The sequence below is a fragment of the Homo sapiens genome, chromosome 2 (genome assembly GCF_000001405.40).
Source record: "Homo sapiens chromosome 2, GRCh38.p14 Primary Assembly".
NCBI lineage: Eukaryota > Metazoa > Chordata > Mammalia > Primates > Hominidae > Homo > Homo sapiens.
This window is the reverse complement of record NC_000002.12, coordinates 55,394,266-55,418,982: the sequence shown is the minus strand read 5'-3', so window position 1 is coordinate 55,418,982 and position 24,717 is coordinate 55,394,266. Positions and strand designations below refer to the sequence as shown.

At 38.2% G+C, this 24,717-nt stretch overlaps 1 protein-coding gene across 4 annotated transcripts in view, besides 1 other annotated feature; it reads left to right on the top strand.

Moving 5' to 3' along the window:
* CCDC88A (coiled-coil domain containing 88A) overlaps positions 1-24,717 on the top strand; it is a 132,015-nt gene that overhangs the window by 874 nt on the left and 106,424 nt on the right. For all 4 annotated transcript variants that reach the window (NM_001254943.2, NM_001135597.2, NM_018084.5 and 1 more), the window contains exon 2: positions 67-167. In NM_001254943.2, coding sequence (NP_001241872.1) covers positions 67-167 — 101 coding nt within the window. The remainder of the gene's footprint in view (positions 1-66; positions 168-24,717) is intronic.
* Positions 9,554-10,134: an enhancer, noted in NCBI's record as "OCT4-NANOG hESC enhancer chr2:55635985-55636565 (GRCh37/hg19 assembly coordinates)". NCBI's record gives its function as "activates a minimal SCP1, AML or CMV promoter by ChIP-STARR-seq in naive H9 embryonic stem cells {active_cell/tissue: H9 hESC(naive)}" and the evidence as "EXISTENCE:reporter gene assay evidence [ECO:0000049][PMID:30033119]".

The following is a 24,717-nucleotide window of genomic DNA, read 5'->3' as shown; positions in this document are numbered from 1 at the left end:
AGTTATTTGTGGCTGCAGAGATGGAGGTGGGCGTTCATGTCGTGGTGATCCTTCTGTTTGTTCTAGGTTAAAACGTTTGGACCTCTGGCCGCAGGAAATGGGACCAACCTTGATGAATATGTGGCTTTGGTGGATGGGGTATTCTTGAACCAGGTCATGCTCCAAATGTAAGTTCTTCCTTCTTTCCTAGGTAACGTTTTCTTTGAGAAATAGCATATGGTGAACTTTGAGACACGATGTTTTAAGCCCCTAATTTGGTTCATTGGCCAGAAATATTCAGGTGGTTTAAGAATTGGATCTTGAAAGGAATGCTAATGTTATGGGCTCAGCCCATTATCACAACCTAGATATTTTACCTGTTAAAATTGTGAAACTTTAGTTTTTCATTCTGTCAACCATGTATTGTCACTTGTCTTCAGTACTGAAATCCAAGCCACATTGTGTATTCTTTGATAATTTGGTAAAATAAGAGAGAAAATGAGAATCTGGTTTCCTAAGAGAGGAAAAAAGACTTTACTGTGAAGTTATGTGCATTTGATGCAGAAATGTTTCTTATTAACCTTTATATCTAGAAATAAATGGCTCAAAATTTGAAACTCGTTAAGTAATAGCAGATTTCAGAAGAGAAAATTTCAAACAGTTCTGATTGGTGAGGACTCTTGCTGTAGTAAATAATTTAAATGCCTGTAATAACTAAAGCCTGATGAGATGATTTATTGTGTGAATTATTAGGTTGCTTAATATTTTAGGGATCATTTTAAGGTATTCTTACAGGTTTTGAAATGCAAATAACAAGTCTTGATAACAATTAGATAACGACTTATTGGGCAAATCTTTGTCTTTTGTGTTTATAATATTGGGTTTGTACTAAGTAGGAAAGTATGCTTTTGAGATGGGAATTGAATAGTGAAAGTATATTGGTAGCTGGATCAGTAAAATTAAAACTCAGCTTTTATCTAATTACAGCTATTGTAGCATACGTGTATTCTAAGTACGCTAATGTAGTTTATCAAACTGAATTTTTCAGTTGTGCTCAAAGTAATGTATACTTAGTCTTATTTCTCTTTAATAGAATCTGATGAGAAGAGGTAGTTTGGAACTTTTATATGTATGGGAAATTGGTGTGTTATCAATAAATAGTTGTTACTAGAGAATAAGTCTACCATTCTGCTCTGATAACCTTATCAATTTTGTATTTTATTGGTTTAGATTTTTATGTTTAAGAGGGTAGAAGTCACATCTATAAAAAATTGCTCTCGTGTTAACTTCTCTGTGTGCTCAAAGAGATTTGTGGGCTGTTTTTCATGTACATGTTGATCCTACAGGGAAGTATTATACTATTATACATTTTCAACCAGTGTTTTGTTTTCATAGGCACCCAAAGAAATATATATGTTATCTAAATATGTATATATTTATTTTTTTCCTTAAGAAAGGAAAAAAGAGCGTAGACATCAATTATTTCCAGGGTTAGTAAATGTATTTTTGACAGCTGTGTAATGGAATTATTTTTTATCCTCAAAATATCTGACTATTTCCTAAGCAAAATGGTAGGATAATAAACTGACTTCTCTTTTGGGGAACCTACATGACAGAAAGGGTAGCCATTACAGTAGATACTCAGAATTTGTTCCCCTGTGTCTCTTTATTGTGCTTATTTTTAGACGGAAGATTTTGAATTTGTGTGCTAAAAATGTGTGTTCACAAAAATAGGGAAATATATTACTTTAGTTTTCCACTTTAATGGTTTTTATTTGAATGATTCTTTTTCCAGAAAAATTTAGATTTTTTTTTTGCATCCTAAATACTTAGCTGAGGTGCTAAAAACAAATACGTTAATTTCCACTTCAAATGCAGTTTTATGCTTAAAAAATATATGTATATTTTGAAAATGACGGTATTCCAAAATAGTGTTTGTCAGGTTGCTGTTTTTCATGAGGACTAGCTCCTTTCCAAACCACAAATCTGCTTCTGTATTTTCAGTTCCACCTCTCAGTTTCTTTAGATTTTTTTTCGGTGTCCTAATTCTGTTGTAAATGACCTATAAAATTAAAGGAAAAGAAAAGAAAAAAAAAGTATACTTTTGCTTTGTTTGAATAATTTGCTAAAATAAGATCAAATTTATCTTAATAAATTATTTAACTGATAGGGCAACAAAATATACATTGTTTTATAAGCTGTATTTTGCTAATTTTGAAGTCATTAGGATTTCTGTTAAGCACTTTACTTAGATTAATGTATGCTTTAATGTACTCTATTATAAAGTGTCAGTTGTAACTCTATACCTAGTAAATGTAAAAGTTAGGCCTAGTCTAATTTCTACAGTACATTTAGTTACAGAATTTGTGAGCAAGAACCCTTTGTAAATGAAACTATTTATATATTTTCCATGTTTCTTGTGCTTGGAATTCAATGAGTGTCTTGGATCTGTGGGTTTATAGTTTTTATCAAATTTAGAAAAGTTTCAGTCATTATTCCTAGAAGAAAATATATACATATATATATATATATATATATATATATATATATATATATATATTTATTTATTTATTTATTTGACCTCTTCACCCTTTTGGAAGTCCAGTTACATATATATTAGTAGCTTTGATGTTGTCTTAAAACTTACTGATGTTTAATTCAATTTTCTTTCAGTCTTCTTTGTTTCATTTTGGATAGTCTGTTGTGATGTCTCCAAATTTATTAATTTTTTCTTCTATAATGTTTAGTCTGCTCTTAATCCCACCCACCATATTTTTCATTCCAGATATTATAACTTCATCTTTAGAAATTGTCTTATATCTTCCATGTCTATGTTTTTCATGCTCTGTCTTTTCTCTAGCTTCTTGAACATATGGAATACAGTTATAATTGGCTTAATGTCTATGTCTGCTAATTCTGTCTGTGTCATTTTGGGGTTGGTTTCGGTTGATTGATATTTCTTCCCATTATGGATTCTGTTGCTTTTGCATGCCTGGTGATTTTTTTTTTAATTTGATGCCAGTCATTTGAAATTTTAGCTTGTTTGGCGCTGGATATTTTTGTATTCCATTAAATACAAAAATCTTGAGCTTCGTTCTGGGATGCATTAAGTTACCTGAAAACAGTTTGATCTTTTGGGGACATGCTTTTAAGATTTGTTAGGCAGTACTACTTTGTCACACTGTTGAGGCAAAACCCCTCTGAATACTCCAGCTGGTGGAAACAGGACCTACTTGGTGGTGTTCGCTCTCAGTCTTTTTGGTGGTTCTTTCACTATCTTTGGGTAGTTTCCTCACACTTATATTCTGATAAGTACTCAGACTTGAGGGATACCCTCTGCAGATCTTTCTCACTGTTCAACTCTGTTAAGTACTCTGCCCTGTGTACTTTAGCTACCTTGCTGTCTCCAGACTCAGTTCTGTCCCCTCAGCTCAGACCATTGTGCTCTGCCTGGATTCCCCTCTTCCTGTTCTGTGGCCTGGAAACTCTTTCAAGGCCATAATGCTGGAGCAGTTGTTGGATTCATGCTTGTTTCCCATCGATTGGGGATCACTGTCTTTTGTTGCCTGATGTCCAATGTCTTGAAAAACGTTTTATGTATTTTGTCTTTTTTTCCCCCCAGTTGTTTCAGGGAGGAGGGCAAATTTGGTCTCTGGCCACCAGTAGAAATATGTTTGTATACTTTTTTGTTTTTCAAGATGGGGTCTGGCTATGTTGCTCAGGCTGGAATATGTGATCATAGTGCATTATGGCCTCAAACTCCTGGGGTCAGGCCATCCTCCCACCCTAAACATCTGAGTAGTTGGGACTACAGGCACGCGCACCACAATGCCTGGCTGTTTATATACTTTTAATTACATTTTTGCTCTGCTAGTCTTATATTACTGCTTTTAGATGTGAGATGGACTTTTTTTATAGGAACCTTTTTTTTTTTTTTTGAAACAGAGTCTCGCTCCATGCCCAGGCGGGAGTGCAGTGGTGTGATCTCAACTCACTGCAAGCTCTACCTCCCGGGTTCACGCCATTCTCCTGCCTCAGGCTCCCGAGTAACTGGGGCTACAGGCACCCACCACCACGCCTGGCTAATTTTTTGTATTTTTTTAGTAGAGACGGGGTTTCACCGTGTTAGCCAGGATGGTCTCGATCTCCTGACCTCGTGATCCGCCTGCCTCAGCCTCCCAAAGTGCTGGGATTACAGGCATTAGCCACCACACCTGGCCAGGAACCTTATTATATAAGTTTTTTCATCTAAAATGTTTATTAAGACTAAGAAAATTGATTAATTTAATGACTCTGTTGTTGCTGTTTTGCACCCAGACTCTGAAAGTGAAGAGCTAACTTCTTCATGACACTGTTTACTGACTCTGCCTCACAATTTTGAAGTCTTTTCACTGACTTGAGATTTACTGTATTCAGAGATGAATCCTGAATTTCATTGAGTAGCTTTTTGAAGCAAATAATCTCTGTTAGAACTTGTAACATGACTTCAATCGTCTTAAACTAATGGGAAGGAAGAGGAAAGCTATTCAGAGATCTGGAATGATGGGCCAGCTCTTCTGTACGCTGTAGGGCATTTTCCTACTTCAGTGGATTGAAATCTTTTTTCTTTATTGTTATCAGTTGTAGGGCTTGGTGACAGTGAAGTAGAAATAATTATTTTCCTGTTTGAGATGTCATTTAATTCTGGAGCCAGTTTTGAATATTACTTGCTGTGAGTTTTTAAGGAATTTGTGACATTGTAGTTAATTTCATACTCCTAAAATTTTAAAAACGTCCAATTCATATTACCCAAACGGTTGAAAATATGGATGTCTTAGGATTTTAAGTACTGAGAAAATTGTTAATAGTATCAGAACAATATTTGGAATTATTATTTATGATTCAACCCTATTAGATAGTTATAGAGAGCTGTACTTGGAACACTTGGTAATTGTGATAAACTTGTTATGGCTTTTCCTTTAGAATTTTGGGTTTGAAGGGACTTCAGAAGTCATCTGCCCTTTTTTGTTTGTTTGTTTGCTTGTTTTTTTTTTTTGTTTTTGTTTTTGTTTTTTGAGACGGTCTTGTTCTGTTGCCCGGGCTGGAGTGCAGGGGCATGATCACCGCTCACTGCAGCCTTCACCTCCCGGGCTCAAGCTATCCTCCCACCTTAGCCTCCCAAGTACCTAGGACCACAGGCACGCGCTACCATGCTTGACTAATTTTTGTATTTTTTGTAGAGATGGAGTTTCACTGTGTTGCCCAGGCTGGTCTCAAGCGATCCACCCACCTCAGCCTCCCAAAGTTCTGGGATTATAGGCACAAACCAGCCTGACTCTTTGCTTGACTCTATTGACTAGGCTGTGAGTTTCCTGAAGCCAGGGACTCTATCTTTTGTCTCTGTATTCTTAGGACAGTGTTTGACACACAGTACATTCTTGATATATTTCTGTTGAATGATTGAATAATACAGCCATGTGTAGTAAAGTGGAATGAATTTGAGCCTTATGTCAGATAGACATAGACTTGGGTTCAGTTCTAGCTGTGCTACTTATTGGTATGTGAGCCTAATATCTCCAAATTACAGTTCCTACATTTATAAGATGGGAGATAATGTTTCCCTTCCTGATGGGGAAGGATTATCTACTAAGGCAGGGACAGATAAGTCTATTTTCTGTTTTGTTGACCCACTATATCCCCAGTGCTGGTTGCTGTCATTATTATTATCCTGTGCTATGCTATATCTACCTACTTATGGCTCCTCAAGTAAATCATGATAGTTCACAGCTTAGTTTTTTTGTTTGTTTGTTTGTTTTTGAGACAGGATCTCACTCTGTCACCCAGGCTGGACTGCAGTGGCACAATCGCAACCCACTGCAACCTCAAACTCCTAGGCTGAAGCAATCCTCCCACCTCAGCTTCCCAAGCAGCTGGGACTGCAGGCATGTGCTACTGCACCTGGCTAATTTTTTAAAATTTTTTTTATAGAGACCGGGTCTCACTTTTTTGCCCAGGCTGGTCTTGAATTCCTGGGTTCAAGTGATCCTCCCACCTCAGCTTCCCAAAGTGGCTGGCATTACAGGCATGAGCCACTGCGCCTGGCCGACAGCTTAGTTTTGTATGATCTCTGTTAGTGTCACCTCTATATAGCTGTATGATCTTTAGTAAGTTACTTAATTTGTAAGTGGGATAAAAAGTCACAGGATTGTTATGAGAATCAAATAGAATAATGTATGTACAATGCTTAACATATAGAAAGTGTCCAATAAATGTTAGCTCTTTATTGTTTTATTTATATTATTATCATTAGAATTATTTTCTTCAAGACCAGCGGTCCCCAACCTTTTTGGCAGCAAGGACTGGTTTCATGGAAGACGATTTTTACATGGAGCAAGGCTGAGGGGAGATGGTTTCAGGATGAAACTGTTCTACCTCAGATCATCAGCCATTAGATTCTTATGAGGAGAGTGCAACCTAGATCCCTCGCATCTACAGTTCACAATAGGGTTTGTGGTCCTGTGAGAATCTAATGCTGTTGTTGATCTGACAGGAGGCAGAGCTCAGGCAGTAATGCTTGCCCGCCCACCACTGATCTGCTGTGTGGCTTTCCTAACAAGCCATGGACCCAATCCATGGCCCAGGGGTTAGAGACTCCTGCTCTAGACTATCCTTCCCCTTTTCTTTGACTAACCAATTCCTGCTCTTCCTTTAATACCTTGTGAAGTCCCCAGGCAGAGTTGTTTTCTTCCTTATGATTCGGAAGTACCTTCACCTGCGTAGCTATTGCTTTGCAGTATTACTGTTTAGGGGCTAGATGTTTTGTCTCACATATTACTAGCACCTAACCTAGTACTTAGCATGTATCACTAGCACCTAGCATAGAAGTTGGCATGTCGTAAGTTGTAAGTAAATGTTGAAGGAATAAGTGAAGATAGCTGCAATTTTATTAATTTTCAAAATTTTGAGAATACCTTCTAGTTTTAGTACTGTAGAATTTAGTTTATTTTTTAGTTTGTCTTCTGTTTCTCCTTTTTGTTTGTTCTCTCTCTTTCCCCGTATTTGTTTTAATTACCTTTATTGGATATTTTTCCCACCGATGTTATATCTCCTTTGAGGCAAGGTGATAGGAGCAAGATTTCATGGTCCATGGTTTTTTATAGTATTAGAATATACAGTGCTTTCAGTTTGGTTTCCAATAACTTTCCTGTCCAATATGTTGAGTTTTTTTTTTTTTTTTTTTTTTTTGAGACGGAGTCTTACTCTGTCGTCTAGGCTGGAGTACAGTGGCGTGATCTCGGCTCACTGCAACCTCCTTCTCCCAGGTTCAACCAATTCTCCTGTCTCAGCCTCCTGAGTAGTTGGGATTACAAGGTGCCCACCACCGTGCCTGGTGAAGTTTTGTGTTTTTAGTAGAGACGGGATTTCACCATTTTGGCCAGGCTGGTTTCGAACTCCTGACCTCAAGTGATCTGTCCACCTGAGCCTCCCAAAATCTCATGCTGGGATTACAGGCATGAGCCACCGTGCCTGGGCCATGTTGAGATTTTTTTGTCCACAGCTTTGTATTGGACTGTCTTCAAGAAAAGTCCATTGTGATTGCCTCATTCTCAATATGATTCATATGTAGTTAAACTACAGAAATGATGAGAACCTAGAGAAGAACAGGTGAACTAGTTGTTATACCTGAGAGTATTTTTAAATTTTTTAACTGAAAATTTTCTCTTAATATATATTATGGGAGACTAGTTCTCACAGGATAAATGGAAAGGAAGACCAGTTCTTTCAAAAGGACACCAGCTGACTTTCTTTTAGGATCCATGAAACAGTTTGATACCATTCTAGGCATTAAGTTTTCAATATTCAGAAATAGTATTTGAGATTATACTTGGTACTGGGACATCTGTATAATACTTAATTTATTAATTAGTAAACTGGCTGCTTTTGGAGAGTCAGAGTGGTGGGAGGGCAAAAACAAAAACATGGGCTTGAAAGTTTAAATCCTGAATCAATCATTTAATATTTAGCTAGTTATTGAAACTGGAAAATTACTTTAAATGTTCTCTTTATTCCTGATTCTATTTTTATGCCTTCTTAGATCTATTTTACTAGTTTAATAATTTTTTTTTTTTTTTGAGACAAGGCCTCTCTCTCTTGCCGAGACTGGAATGCAGTGGCGAGATCTTGGTTCACTGCAACCTCTGCCTCCTGGGCTCAAACGATCCTCTCACCTCAGCCTCCTGAGTAGCTAGGACTACTACCATGCCCAGCTAATTTTTCTTTTCTTTTTTTTGTTTTTTGTTTTTTGTAAAGGCAGAGTTTTGCTGTGTTGCCCATTCTGGTTCCAATCTCCTGGGTTCAAGCTATCCACCACCTCAGCCTCCCAAAGTGCAGAGATTAGAGGCGTGAGCCAGTGTGCCTGGCCTACTTTAATAATTAATAAAAATAGGTGGATAAAACCCATCAACTTCACTCTGAGTGAGAGGAGATCTGCCCCTAACATTTGTAAGATCCAGGATAAGCATCCATTTACCACAATAGGCCTAAATATTTAAAGCTTATAAACCAGGCCAACAAATCATTATCTATATTCTAGTCTTTTCTCTTGATAAATATACCTTCATAATGACTTGAAAGTTTCAAATTTAAAATCTGTGGAATTTAGAATTCATAAATTCACAGTTTTGCAGCAGAGTGTGGTTAAGCCCAACCTCCTCCCGTCATCTCTGGCTCTTTCTAGCACCACAAAGAGGTCTCCTGTACATGCTGTGAACACCTTGCATGCACGCACAAGGTCTAAGCTCTTGTACTCCCATCCCCAAACAAGTACTCCTTGGCCCAAGGGTGTACACAAGTGTAGCACAGTCTTTTCTAAGGACAGACCTAGGAAAGAGGCCTGTGTGGGCCTTCAAATTGAGTTAGAAGTGCTTGGGCAAGAAATTGCAAAGTTCTGGGCACCTGGAGTGTCATTTAAAAGTGGGGAGGTAGGCCAGACTTGGGGGCTCACACCTGTAATCCCAGCACTTTGGGAGGCTGAGGCGGGTGGATCACTTGAGGTCAGGAGTTCAAGATCAGCCTGGCCAATATGGTGAAACCCCGTCTCTAATAAAAATACAAAAATTAGCAGGGCATGTTGGCGGGCCCCTGTAATCCCAGCTACTCGGGAGGCTGAGGCAGGAGAATCACTTGAAGCTGGGAGGCGGAGGTTGCAGTGAGCCGAGATTGCGCCACTGCACTCCGGCTTGGGTGACAGTGAGACTCTGTCTGAAAAAAAAAAAAAAAAAAAAAAGGGAGGTATATAGGCACATCCCCCTGTTTACATGGACTCCTCTCCCAGTGGAAGCATGTGGGCCGAGGAGGGCCGGAGTTGGACTCAGGGCAGAGCTCTCTCATCAGGATCTAAATGTAATACTCAGTGAGAGGGATGAAGGGCTAGTTCATTCAAAGATCAATTAATATGGGAATAGTTTCTAAGTACTTACTGTGTAATAAACTGTTAGATGCTAGGAATAGGATGCTTTGCCCACAATAAGGGGGAGGTGCATGTAAACAAATTGCAATGTGGTATCTGTGCCATGATAAGGAATTATGTTCTTGAGACAGTGTTCGCACAGAAAGGGAAGTGATGATTTACATGGAGGAAAGGCTTCTTGGAGGAGATGATGTTTGAGCTGGACATGAGAGCTCCGTAGGAGAAATCAGAGTGAACAGGAGTCATAAGTAGTGGGAGAGTGGAAGGAAGGACATTTTAAGCAAAGAAAATAGCATGAAAAAGAGGCATGAAGATGTAAATAACGGTGGAGGAATTAGGAAGTTTGAGAAAAGTGGAAACATTTTACAAGGCTGCTAAGAGGAAATCACAAAGAGTGTCAGTTAAAGATGAATACAAGTATTGTCATGCAGGGTTGATGGCTTATTTGAGATTTGGAAACCACACATTTGTAGTTGAGCCAGTGAGCATAGCATGGTTGAGTAACCAGTAATGCTTAGCTGCTCAGAAACTGACGAAAATACCTGTAGAATTTATTCAGAATTGGAAATTCTGAATAAACAGACGTGGGATGAGAGAAAAAACATACTACAGATTCTTAGCTGAATAGTTGAATAATAATGTGTGAGCATTAAAGTGAGGAAGAAAGCAAGTATCAGGAGGAACTTACAGAGTAAAGGTTGTGTTACTGGAAAGGGGTCCCAATCCAGACCCCAAGAGAGGGTTCTTGGATCTTGGGCAAGAAAGAATTTAGGGCAAGTCTATAAAGTGAAAGCAAGTTTATTAAGAAAGTAGAGGAATATAAGTATGACTACTCCACAGGCAGAGCAGCCATGAGGGCTGCTGATTGCCCATTTTTGTGGTTATTTCTTGATGATATGCCAAACAAGGGGTAGATTATTCATGCCTCCCCTTTTTAGACCATATAGGGTAACTTCCTGCCATTGCCATGGCATTTGTAAACTGTCATGGCACTGGTAGGAGTGTAGCAGTGAGGACAACCAGAGGACACTCTTGTCAGCATCTTGGTTTTGGTGGGCTCTGGTGAGTTTCTTTACTGCAACCTGTTTTGTCAGCGTGGTCTTTATGACCTGTATCTTGTGCCAACCTCTTATCTCAACCTGTGACTTAGAATGCCTAACTGTCCGGGAATGAAGCTCAGCAAGTCATAGCTTTATTTTACCTAGCCCCTATTCGAGATGGAGTTGCTCTGGTTCAAACGCCTCTGAGAGTTGTAATAAGAATGAAGGAAGAGTAGGTTAGAAGTGAGGGCATGAGAGAGGGTGAAAAGATAGGAGGTCAAGGTCAGAGTAGATTTTCAGAATTTGAGATTTTGGAGGTTGCAATTCTGAATAGTGATTAGGACCAAGATTAGACAGTACTAATGGGTGGATAAAATAGAATAAAATGAAGATACGTAAAGTGGAGAAGGAACTTTCTTCCTTATTTTTTTAATGAAACTATGATCTCTTGATTTAACACTAGAGGTAGAAGTTAGTATTTTGAATTAAAGTAGAAAGGGCCAGGCGCGGTGGCTCACACCTGTAATCCCAGCACTTTGGGAGGCCGAGGCAGGTGGATCACTTGAGGTCAGAAGTTCGAGACCAGCCAAGCCAACATGGTGAAACCCCGTCTCTACTAAAAATACAAAAGTTAGCTGGGCATGGTGGTGGGTGCCTGTAATCCCAGCTACACGGGAGGCAGAGGCAGGAGAGTTCCTTGAACCTGGGAGGTGGAGGCTGCAGTGAGCTGAGATCATGCCACTGCACTACAGCCTGGAAGACAGAGCAAGACTCTGTCTCAAAAAAAAAAAAAAAATTAAACTAGAAAGCTGGGCAATGAATAAATTAAGAAATAATGTAATAGTGGGGAAGGAAAAAAAGGTAATTGTTTATAACATTTTATTTTATTTTATTTTATTTACTTATTGTTTGAGACAGAGTCTTGCTCTGTCACCCAGGCTGGAGTGCAGTGATGCGATCTTGGCTCACTACAACCTCTGCCTCCCGGTTTCAAGCCACTTTCCTGTGTCAGCCTCCCAAGTAGCTGGGATTATAGGCACCCACCACCATGCCTGGCTAATTTTTGTATTTTTAGTAGAGACGGGATTTCACCATGTTGGCCAGGCGGGTCTCGAACTCCTGACATCAAATGATGCACCTGCCTCAGTCTCCCAAAGTGCTGGGATTACAGGCATGAGGCACCTTGCCCAGCCCATAACTTTTTATATTAACATAATCCTTATGTTAAAAATCAGACTTTGTGAGATATCTCAGTAGTCCTTCATGGAAAATTTTTAGACAGTATATTCTTTTTTTTTTCTTGAGACAGGGTCTTGCCCTGTTGCCCAGGCTGGAATGCAGTGGCATGATCACAGCTCACTGCATCCTTGACCTCCCAGTCTCAGATGATCCTCCTACCTCAGCTTCCTGAATAGCTGGGACTATAGGTGTATGTCACCATGCCTGGCTAATTAAAATTTTTTTTTGTAGAGATGGGGTCTTACTTTGTTTCCCAGGCTGGTCTTGAACTCCTGGGCTCAAGCAGTCCTCCCGCCTTGGTCTCCCAGAGTCCTGGGGTTATAGGCATTAGCCACTGTGCCTGGCTTGTATTCTTAATGTGACTGATTTTCCTGGTGAAGGCTAGAAAAAAAGTTGAACTTCACATTATCATCGATAACATAACTGTTAATGTCTCCTTTCCCTGGGTGGTGAAGGACCACGGAAGTTGGTTTAGTTTTAGATGTTGGATACTAGTCTTTGATTTTTTTTTTTTATTTGAGACAGGGTCTCCCTGTGTCACCCAAGTTGGAGTGCAGTGGTCTGGTCACAGCTCACTGCAGCCTCTGCCTCCTGGGATCAAGAGATTCTCATGCCTAAGCCTCACGAGTAACTGGGATTACAGTTGTGTACCACCACACCCGGCTAAATATTTTTTGGTATTTTTAGTAGAGACGGGGTTTTTCCATGTTGGCCAGGCTGCTCTCAAACTCTTCACCTCAAGTGATCAGCCTGCCTCAACCTCCCAAGTGCTGGGATTACAGGTGTAAGCCACCATGCCCGGACACTAGTCCTTGATTAAGACCTGAACTATTACAAAGTAGTGGAGGATGAGAATTTACAGGGAAATATCAATGGAAAGACAAAACCCCCAATCTATTTTTACCAAGACTGGTTTAAAAGGGTGAATTATAGTAATATCCCAGTTAACTTGAATAATTAGGGAAAATGGGGTGAGTTTTCTCATATTTGAAGGTTAACTTAATTTTTCCCAACTCCTTATTTCATATCTTTGCAAATGAATTAGACTATATTTCCACCTTTGTAAATAGAATGTACATGTAATGATTCAGAATTTGTATTTTTTTTTTTTTTTTCAGGACAGAGTCTCACTCTGTTGCCCAGGCTACTGGAGTGCAGTGGCCCGATCTTGGCTCACTGCAACCTCCACCTCCCGGATTCAAGCAATTCTCCTGCCTCAGCATCCTGAGTTGCTGGGACTACAGCGCGTGCCACCACAGCTAGCTAATTTTTTGTATTTTTAGTAGAGACGGGGTTTCACCGTATTAACTAGGATGGTCTTGATCTCCTGACCTCGTGATCCAACCGCCTCAGCCTCACAAAGTGCTGGGATTATAGGCGTGAGCCGCCGCACCTGGCCTGTATCTTTTTTTTTTAACTTAAGTATTAAGTATAGCAGCAGCCCCTAACCTTTTTTGCAGTAGGGATCATTTTCATGGAGGACAGTTTTTTCCACGGACCAGGGCGGGGGCCATTAGATTCTCATAAGGAGTGGGCAACTTAGATCCCTTGTATGGCAGTTCACAATAGGGTTCGTGCTCCTAAGAAAATCTAATGCTGCCGCCAGTCTGACAGGAGGCAGAGCTCAGGTGGTAATGCTTGCCTGCCCACCGCTCACCTGCCATGCAGACTGGTTCCTAACAGGGCACAGACCTGTACTGGTCCTCGGCCCAGGGGTTGGGGACCCTGAAGCATAGTACTGAATGTGTATACTGACTAAGACAAACCTGTAGTTAATAGTGAATGATCCCAAGCAGGTATTTGAAAACAAATCTCTAGTTATTAGGTTGCTTTTTTTCTTTTCTTTTCTTTCATTAATCTGTATGGGTTTCATGTTTCTTTTGAGAGAGAGAGAGTGTGCTGAGAGAGTGAGTTGTGTGGGTGTGTGAACTGGAATAAATTAGGGAGCCCTGATGTCTAGAAGTTAGGTTTGGCCTTTGAAGGTATGTTTAGTCAGGGAAACCTATCTGTGGAGGAAGTTAGATTTGATTTAAACCTTGAAAGGTGACTGAACTTGGATAGCTATCCGTGAGGAGAGGAGGGTATTTTAGGCCAAGGAAGCGTTTTAGGGGAAAAGCATACTGCATGTATGATTTGGGAAATGGTGAGGGGACTAGCCTTAGTGGAGGAACCAAGTTGAGGAATAGTACAATACAGTATTTTAAAATCTTAGGTCATTTATTCCTTTGCCTTTTAAAAACTATTTTGCGGCTGGGCGCAGTGGCTCATGCCTGTAATCCCAGAACTTTGGGAGGCCGAGGCTTGCGGATTACCTGCGGTCAGTTTGAGACCAGACTTGCCAACATGGTGAAACCCCATCTCTACTAAAAATACAAAAATTAGCTGGGCATGGTGGCACATGCCTGTAACCCCAGCTACTCGGGGGAGGCTGGGGCAGGAGAATTGCTTGAGCCCGGGAGGCAGAGGTTGCAGTGAGCCGAGATCATGCCACTGCACTCCAGCCTGGCCAACACAGTGAAACTCTGTCTCGAAAAAACAACTATTTTGCTAAATTGGAGGTCCCCAAAACAGTTTCTTTCTCATGGACCATTTGTAGACCATGACTGAAAGTTTTGTTAACTTGACTATTAATAATTCCTTACCTTTCTGTATGTGTATCTTTCCTCTAACTTGGTTCATTGCATCTCAAATGTATGTGTGGCTATTTTTTGTCTTCTATTTTACTTTTTATTATATTTCTAATTTAATTTTTGTTTGTCTTAGTGCTTTTGTAATAGGTATCTATTATTTTGCCTTTAATTGGTGGGTTTATAATGGAGTTAGCATTGAGCCTTTTGGAGCACTTTTCTGGTACACTGAAAAAGACAAATTAAACCGATATTGTGGTAATCTTATTCTACTCTCACTAATAGAAATTTATATACTTAGAGTTGTCCTGTGTGGGGACTTTTTAAAAAATTAGAGAAATTGATGATTGGAAAAAAGATTTTCTTACCAAATTTAAAAACTGCTTACTTAAGGTAAGTTTCTATGACTAAATTTAATTCATTAATTAGAAGACATTGTTCTTTGGGATTTTTCTCTCATTTTAAAGGGCTTTCATCTCAAAAGAGAAAGTGATACTTGTCACCCATAATTAATCAAGTGAACTATTTAAATTACCTTAGGAGGGGAGTACAGATTAAGAAGCCTTACTATACTGAATTGATAGTATGGGAGTGAAAGCCATAGTAGATAAGTCTGTCACTGGTCAAGGGAAATACGTGACTGTATATCAGCCCACTTTGGAATTTCTTGAGTCTCTAGGCCTAAGTAGATCTGGAGCAATTACTACTCCAGAATACTGATTAAAACAAATTAAAACCAACTTCTGTGACCCAATCTTAAGGCTTAGTGACAATGGGTAAAATGTTCCATCACAGATCAGTGCTGTCCATTGAATCTATTAAACAATCTTCTTTTGTTTCAGTTACTGGTCATGAGGTTGGCAACCATGTAAGTGAATGTTCTAGATTAGCATAATATTAAGTCCCCAGGTCTCTATACCAAGAACAGGAATTGATTTGCCTAATACAGTAGTTCTCAAATGAGATCAGACCCCTGCTAGCACAGAGATTCCTTCAAGGTTGTCTGTCAGGTCAGAATTATTTTCATAATAATACTAAGATGTCCTTTGCCTTTTTATGCGTGTGTTGCTAAAGCACTGATGATGCAAAAGCAAAGGTAAGTAAAACTGCTGACATTTTAGTATGAATCAAGGAATTGTACCAAATTGTGTGGGCAATCATTGTATTCTTCTCGTTACACACTTGTAAGGTATAATAAATAAACCCAGTTTCACTTAAAAATGTCCTTGATGAAGCAATAAAAGTTATTTTGTTGGGTCTTGACCCTTGAATCTTTTTAACATTCTGTGGGCAAAACGGGAACCATACATAATGTTCTTGCATAACAAAGTGCGATGATTATCTCAAGAAAAAGTACTCATGGTTTTTGAGTTCCAAGGTTGAAGTAGTCTCTGTTTTTTGGAACACCATTTTTACTTGAAAGAATGACAGACAAACTGGTTGTTAATACTTGAGTACTGGGCAGACAGTTCCTCAGAAATGAATAAAGTGAGCCTGTCACTTCAGGGAAAACAACTGATTGTATTTGTTGTCAATGATGAAATTTGATTTATAGAAAACATGGGCTTGACAGCTACTCAATATTTAAAGACTTTTCTGATGAGATTGGAGGTGATATTAATGAATGTGGTTTTTTTTTTTTAGACGGAGTCTTGCTCAGTTGCCCAGGCTGGAGTGCAGTGGCGTGATCTCGGCTCACTGCAAGCTCTGCCTCCTGGGTTCACGCCATTCTCCTGCCTCAGCCTCCCTAGTAACTGGGACTACAGGTGCCCACCACCACGCCTGGCTAATTTTTTGTATTTTTAGTAGAGATGGGGTTTCACCATATTAGCCAGGATGGTCTCGATCTCTTGACCTTGTGATCCGCCTGCCTTGGCCTCCCAAAGTGCTGGGATTACAGGCATGAGCCACCACGCCTGGCCGGTTTTTTTTTTTTTTTAAATAGTAATAAAATGTGCCGACATTTGGAAGATCTGTATAATTCAAAGAACCAATAATTTCTAAATGACCAATGCACGATGTTAAGAAGTTATGCATACATAGTTAAAAGATCCATTGAACGTGCCAGATAGACCAATGGATTTTAATGTAAAACAGAGAAAGAAAAGTTCATTGATAGAGTTTCAGATTCCATATTGCACTTAACCTTTAAGAAATAACCCTTACTGAATTTTGGTAATATCAAAGAAGAATATCAATAATTGTATGAATATGCCAATCAAATAATTTTCCTTTTTCTAATTACATACTTGTGTGCGGTCATATTTCTTATACTTAAAGCAAAACAATGTATCACAACCACCGAATGCAGAAGCAGGTTTAAGAAAACAGCTGTATTCTATTAAGCCAAACACTGAGATTTGCAAAGAAGTGAAAGAATGTTATTTCCCACTAAAATGTTAAGTTTTGAAAAGTTATAAAAATGTTCTTTATGTTAACAAACACTGTTACATTTAGGTGAATTAATATTTTTAAAAATTCTTTATTTTAAATTTTAATATAGTAAATATAGATAGTTATAACCCACATAAACAAAAGCTCTTTGGGAGTCTGCAATAATTTTAAAGAGTAAAAAGGGGTTCTGAGACCAAAAGTTAAAAAACTGCTAACTTAATATTTGAAGGGCTAAGTTGACTTATTCTAAAAGAAATAAAGGGTGGGTTCAGCCATTTTATTAAGTTTAGATGAAACCAAAGTAAAGTATATGTATAGTACTGGATTTTAATTATTTTTGTGTCCATTTGCAGTTTTTAAATTAAAGCATTACTTCTGTTTGTTAAATCAGTGAATATCATGCCCTACTGCTAGCTTAATCTTGGGCTAACTAGAAAATGTCATAGATTTTCCAACTTTCGAAAAGGTAACTTAATGTGTCCAAAATTATGAGAACAAAAACATGAAAGGCTGTGTCTGTAATCTCTGTATGGTAATTATATGTCATGTACCTCTCCAAGAATGACTGTTCAGTCAATGTGAAGTTCAAGATAGTTAATATATGTGAAAATATTCTGTAGATAGGTAAAAGCTTATATTAATATTAGATTTATTGTTGGCTGTCATGCAAAGTAATTGAATTTGAATTTATGGGGGGGAGAAATTAAGTTGAAGGAATATATATATATATATATATATATATATATATATATATATGTATACACACACACATACATACACACACATATGTATATATATATATATATATTTTTTTTTTTTTTGGAGACAGAGTCTTTCTCTGTCATCCAGGCTGGAATGCAGTGGTGAGATCATAGTTCACTGAAGCTTCTGACTCCTGGCCTCAAGTGATCCTCCTGTCTTAGCCTCCTGCGTAGCTAGGACTGCAGGCACACACCACTGTCCCCAGCTAATTAAAATTTTGTTTTTTTGTAGACAAGGAGTCTTGCTGTGTTGTACAGGCTGGTCTCAAACTCCTGGCCTGAAGCAATTCTCTGGCCTCAGCCTCCCAAAGTGCTGGGATTATGGGTATGAGCCACCTCCCCTAGCCAATACATTTTTTCCCTTAAAACCACTAATTTTCTATGTACCCTCAGACCAGTGCTGCAAAATAAAAAAGCCATTAATTTTCCTGAAATACCTTACTACTTGGATACTTGGATAACCCTTAATGGTGGTGCTGTTTACCCAGTTAATTATTTTTCATAAAGCAAACATTCTGGTTTATGCACATTTAAAGTTAGATACATAAATTAGTTATTTCAGATGTATCATAGTGACATGCAAATATTACATAGTTATGTTATTTTATAAATTATCTCAAAAATTTATTAAAAGACCACACTACAACCATAGTTTTAAGTTACAGTGCCATGATCAAAAACCACCATCAGTTAAGCACCAACACAGAACAGATGGTCCAAGAGGACATACAACAGGTTTACATTCTGGAGGAGAAGAGCATAGAGCCATTAAAGCTATCAGATTTCTGTTTCTTATATATATTAGTTAATGAATAAGTAAAGATATAATCCTTGATCATACAAGGACCAAATCTCAGAGTATTAGCGTTGCAAAATTGCTAACTTTAACTTCATCTTTTTTCCTGATTTACAAATTTTTATATACAGTGGTTGATAATACTACTGTCCGTTTATTATTTTAATTGAAATTAATGCAACTTGTCATAAGTAGATCATTTATAAATGTGAAATTGCTTGAGGCCCTCTTTTACTGCCATGTTGCATTTAACTCCTGGTTGGACAGATTTGAGCCATATTGCTAGGCTATTTGTCACTAAAGCATTTTTTTAGTTTTCATCTTATAAAGAAGATGGTTGACTTGAAATTGTGTTGCCTTGGAAATAGCTGTGTGTGATTGGAAAGGTACTTGCTCACGTTTGACATGTCACATGTATATTGTTCAGTAGCTCATCTTTTATTTTAGAAAACGGCCTTTCCAAAGATACATTCTTTAGAAAAAAATGGTATAGTATGCTTTCAAAAAGAGCCTGATAAAAACTTTATTAATTGTGATTATTCTGAATTAATTTTTGTTTTGCATTTTAAGTATTAAAATGAAAGGCAGAATATTTGGAATATTTAATAGACTACATTTTCTCTTTAGAGAATTCTGTGAGTCATACTTAATAGACTACATTTCTTTTTAGAGCATTCTGGAGTCATACCATACTGTTTGTTTAAATTACTGTATTGTGATTTTTATTATATTAAAAGTAATAGAATACAGGATTCAACCTGAGGAAGCTGATAAAAACACACACACACAGGAATGAGTGTTTTTTCTGTCTTTATATAGGATGCATTCTTTTTATAGAAGAAATTTTTAATACTGTTTTCTTTTCTTATGGTTTATGCTTAGTCTCACAAATGTCTTATGACTCTGAATTCCTGACATCGAATTCTATGCAGAGATAGCTTTATCAAATGTGCTTCAGCTAAGTAACAATCCAACACAATTATTAATATTTTTCCCTCAGGTAAATGAAATAGGTTTCATGAAACAATAAAAAGTCCTTAAAAAATGTTTTACGTGCTTAAAAAATTAATTAGTACCAAAAGGTTCACAGTGACAAACAAAAATTCTCTGCTGTATTTCTCCTCATATCTCAGTTCAGTTCTCTGGAGTGCCACTTTTTTTTTTTTTTTTTTGAGACAGAGTCTCATTCTGTCGCCCAGGCTGGAGTACAGTGGCGCAATCTCGGCTCACTGCAACCTCCGCCTCCCAGCTCAAGCAATTCTCTGCCTCAGCCTCCTGAATAACTGGGATTACAGGCACCCACCACCACGCCCAGCTAATTTTTTTTTTAATTTTTAGTAGAGACGGGGTTTCACCATCTTGGCCAGGCTGGTCTTGAACTCCTGACCTCATGATCCACCCGCCTTGACCTCCCAGGCATGAGCCTCTGTGCCTGGCCCAGAGTGACAGCTTTTTAAACTTTTTTAAAAGCAATTTCTTCTGTTATTTAGCCCATATATAGGGATAATGTGTCTATTCTGGTATTTCTTGATTTATTCCTTTTAGACATTGTCTATGACTTCCTGATAGTGGTAGATAAGATTTTATCTTTTTTATGCTCCTGTATTTCTTCTTACCCTATCTTTCTAATATAGTTAACACAGGTTTAGTTAAATCAGTCATCAGTATTTACATTATTATAACTATATAATATTTACTGCAAAGCCAGGTATTATTTTTCCGAAGCTACTAATTCTCTTGATTTGCATAATTTTCTATAAATTACCCTTAAAGAGTCAACCATTTTTCATGGAGGTGGAGCTTAGGACTTTTCTTTCTTTCTTTTTTTTTTTGTTAGGCAGGGTCTTGCTCTGTCACCCAGGTGGGAGTGCGATGGTATAATCACAGTCCACTGCAGCCTCAAACTCCTGGGCTCAAGCAATCTTCCTGCCTCATTTTTAAATTTTTTTGTGGAGATGAGGTTTCACTGTGTTGCCCAGGGTAGTCTTGAACTCCTGGGCTTACACAATCCTCTTGCTTTGGCCTTCCAAAGTGCTGGGATTACAGGCGTAAGCCATCGTTGCCAGCCCAGGAGCTTAGGACTTTTCTGGTAGTTTCACCTGAGGGCAGTCCCTCTCACCTAAAGAGATCACATCCTTAGGGTGAAAAGGCCTGTTTTCCGTGATCCTAACATGTGTCAGTATGGCCCTTACTCAAACTGGGCATGCATCAAATGGGAAACTCAAGCCTTATAATGGGAAGTTTATTGCTTTCTAGATCCATGCCGAGAGTGCTTAATGGTTATCCTGGGCTCTAAGTACAGATAGTTTATAGTAATAGATAATGATATAATATCTGATGATTATAAAGAAATAGGAACTTTTCAGTTCTGTTTTCATACTAAAATAACTCTTGAGTAGGTACAATGTAGAACAGAAGTTACAGATAGAGGTTTGGGGTGCTTAGGTATTAGCCTGTTCAAGAACTCCGCTATTCTATTGGCTTTCCTAGAGTCAAATCAGAGCATAGAAATCCCTTCACAGCCCACGTACTTATTTCATAGATTTGTAGACACAAAGCAGCACAGTTTTGTGAAGGGATATAAAAAATTTTCATTCACCTATCTTTAAGATCCCTTTTGATTGTGAGGTTAATTTTAGGTGTTGAAGTACTTTTCTCTCAAATATTTAAATTTTATTTTTCATTTTTCTTCAGATTTCTAAAATTACATCTGATATCATTAGTATATAACTATATAATTCCTTCCTTTTATACCCAGAATTATTTTAATTGTTAAAAGCAGTCTTTTGCAAAGTCTAAAAAAACTTAATATAAAACATTAATTTTTTTTACAAAAAATTCTTAAAAGATTTTGATTAAACCAAAATTCTAAATTCTGAAAACTTGCTAATTCTTGAAAGAGCTGTATGCAGCGACTGTAGAATTTCCTGACAACTGAATACATTTCAAGATATCATGTGAGGAATATTGGACACAAAATTTAAGAAGAAGCATTAACACTTTTTTTGAAAAAAATCACTTTAAAGGAAACAAACTTGACAACAACTCTGTCAGGGACAAAGATAGCATTTACATTATAAAATGTATTAAAATAATGATATTACTATATGTTCATTAGAATATTATGCATCCAAAGTATAATATAATCCAAATTATGCATTTGGATTATCCAAATTATGCATTTGGATAATCCAAATTAGTATAATCCAAATTGTATATTGTCATGTAGTAATGAGCTTGCACTACAAATAATACAGTTTTTAAATTTATATATATTTTTAGTTCTAATATTAAATTTTTCTTAGGTTGGACACGGTGGCTTACGCTTGTTGTCCCAGCACTTTGGGAGGCCAAAGCGGGAGGATCACTTGAGGCCAGGAGTTCGAGACCAGCCTGGTCTACATGGTGAAACCCCGTCTCTCCTAAAAATACAAAAATTAGTCAGGTGTGGTGGTGGGTGCCTGTAATCCCAGCTACTTGGGAGGCTGAGGCAGGAGAATTGCATGAACCCAGGAGGCAGCGAGCGGTTGCATTGAGCTGAGATCATGCCACAGCGCTCCAGCCTGGGTGACAGAGCGAGACTCCATCTCAAAAAAAATTTTTTTTTCTTAGGTACCTATTGTTTGATTTAAATATCCAGGTTTATAATAAAATATCACCACAGTGAACTGGAGGAGGGAAGGAAATTAATCATCTTTAGTTTGATTACTCATGTGAAAACAGAATTGGGAATATGCTCAAACAATACAGTAAAACAGTGATATATGATGTACACTCGGGTTTTAGAAAAAACATTGCTGAAACCCTTTTTTTTTTTTTTTTTTTTTTTGAGATGGAGTCTTGCTCCGTTGCCCAGGCTGCAGTGCAGTGGCGTGATCTCGGCTCACTGCAAACTCAGCCTCCCGGGTTCATGCCATTCTCCTGCCTCAGCCTCCCGAGTAGCTAGGACTACAGGTGCCTGCCACCACGCCTGGCTAATTTTTTGTATTTTTAGTAGAGATGAGGTTTCACCTTGTTAGCCAGGATGGTCTCGATCTCCAGACCTCGTGATCTGCCCGCCTCAGCCTCCCAAAGTGCTGGGATTACAGGTGTGAGCCACCGCACCCAGGTGCAACCTTTTTTTTTAAGTCAGACTTTTCTTTGTTTTCTTGAATGATCCTATAAAAGGAAAAACTAAAAGAGTAAAAGAGCTCTAGGATCCTAGGCAGATTACTAGTTTGAACTTTGGCTTTCTGATTTATGGTGAAACCAGGTATCTCTAAAGTGTTTCTAGGTCTAAATGTGGTCAGTGTGTGAATAGGAGACAGTCATAGATGAGAGGTATGTAAGGGATTCAAATGTAGAATAAAGAAAATAGAAATAAAAGGTAGAAGAAGGGTAGAGAGGAAAGGTATTTACTGAAAATGTTTGCAAATGAAATTTATGTAACTGTAAATATACCTAAAATTTTTGTTACTGGTGTTGTTCTTACTCTGTTCTCCCAATTACAAATATACTTTTCTCCACAATGATAGCTTGACTAGCCCAAGCTTTTGTGCATTAAGTAATGTGGCCAGTACAGTAGGTACTCAGTGAGTATTTGTTTAACTTACTGACTAAAAAAGATACCAGACAAGAAAAAAGAAAAAAAAAATACCAGAATGGATTGCCTAAATAAAACAGGGTTTTTCCTTCAGTTTTACTATGACTTCTTGATCATGCTGCTGTTTGTCTTTGTTTGCCATGACACGTGATCTGACTTCTACAATATAGTCTCCTTGTTTTTATAAGTAACTAGTTCTAGTAGATGCTTTTATTTGAGAGACTCACTTTTCCATTTAAACTCTCATTTGCCTTGGGCTATTCTGAGTTTTTCACTATTTTCTTGCAATAAGCATAAATCAGTCACAGGTCAGATTTAGCTTACCTTACTAATAGTCTTCCTTGTTCTGCAGATCTCAAATTGTAGTTTAGGACTCTATTAGTCAACTGATTTTTGAGACACAGCTTAATGAAAGTACCTATTCCAGGCTGCCAGCTGAGTTGTTAGCTTGGAGGTTGTCAGCTCGTAACTTTCGATAGAAAGCAATGGTTTAAAAAACACTATGCTTAGTCTTTGTTTATTCTTATTTTTATTTATTCAGACAATATTTGTGTTAGGAAATATGGTAATTTTTAGAAATAAAAACATGAATAAGAAGATATGGTCCCTCTTGTCAAGGAACTTAGAACCTAGTGAGAAAGTGGGAGTCAAAAAGACCAAGTATTGGAAGACCTGTGACAGAGTTATATACCAATAAAAGGGAATAGTTATACCATAGAGTGGAGCTGAGAGAGTATATAGTCTAGGACTTTGAGGATGATGTAACAGTGTAACTCACTACATTAACATATTAATGGAGAAGGATCAGATGGGAGTAGATGTAGGAAAAATTGGATATGCCAGGTGTGCTGTGGCTTGTGCCTGAAATCCTTGCTAGCTAGAAGGCTGAGGCAGGAGGATCACTTGAGGCCAGGAGTTTGAGGCAAGCCTGAGCAACATAGTGAGAGATCTCATCTATAAAACATTTTTTAGGCAGGGCACAGTGGCTCACGCCTGTGATCCCAGCATTTTGGGAGGCTGAGGCAGGCAGATCACTTGAGGTCAGGAGTTTGAGACCAGCCTGGCCAACATGGTGAAAACCCATCTCTCCTAAAAATACAAAAATCAGCCAGGTGTGGTGGCGTGCACCTGTAATCCCAGCTACTCGGGAGGCTAAGGCAGGAGAATCACTTGAACCCAGAAGGTGGAGGTTGCAGTGAGTGGAGGTTGTGCCATTGCACTCCAGCCTGGGCAACAGAGTGAGACTCCATCTCAAAAAAAAACAAAAACAAAAACAAAAACATTTTTTTTCTTTTTTTTTTTATTATTATTATACTTTAAGTTTTAGGGTACATATGCCCAACATGCAGGTTTGTTACATATGTATACATGTGCCATGTTGGTGTGCTGCACCCATTAACTCATCATTTAGCATTAGGTATATCTCCTAATGCTATCCCTCCCCCCTCCCCCCACCCCACAACAGTCCCCAGTGTGTGATGTTCCCCTTCCTGTGTCCATGTGTTCTCAAAGTCAAGAAACAACAGGTGCTGGAGAGGATGTGGAGAAATAGGAACACTTTTACACTGTTGGTGGGACTGTAGACTAGTTCAACCATCGTGGAAGTCAGTGTGGCGATTCCTCAGAGATCTAGAACTAGAAATACCATTTGACCCAGCTATCCCATTACTGGGTATATATCCAAAGGATTATAAATCATGCTGCTATAAAGACACATGCAAACGTATGTTTATTACAGCACTATTCACAATAGCAAAGACTTGGAACCAACCCAAATGTCCAACAATGATAGACTGGATTAAGAAAATGTGGCACATATACACCATGGAATACTATGCAGCCATAAAAAAT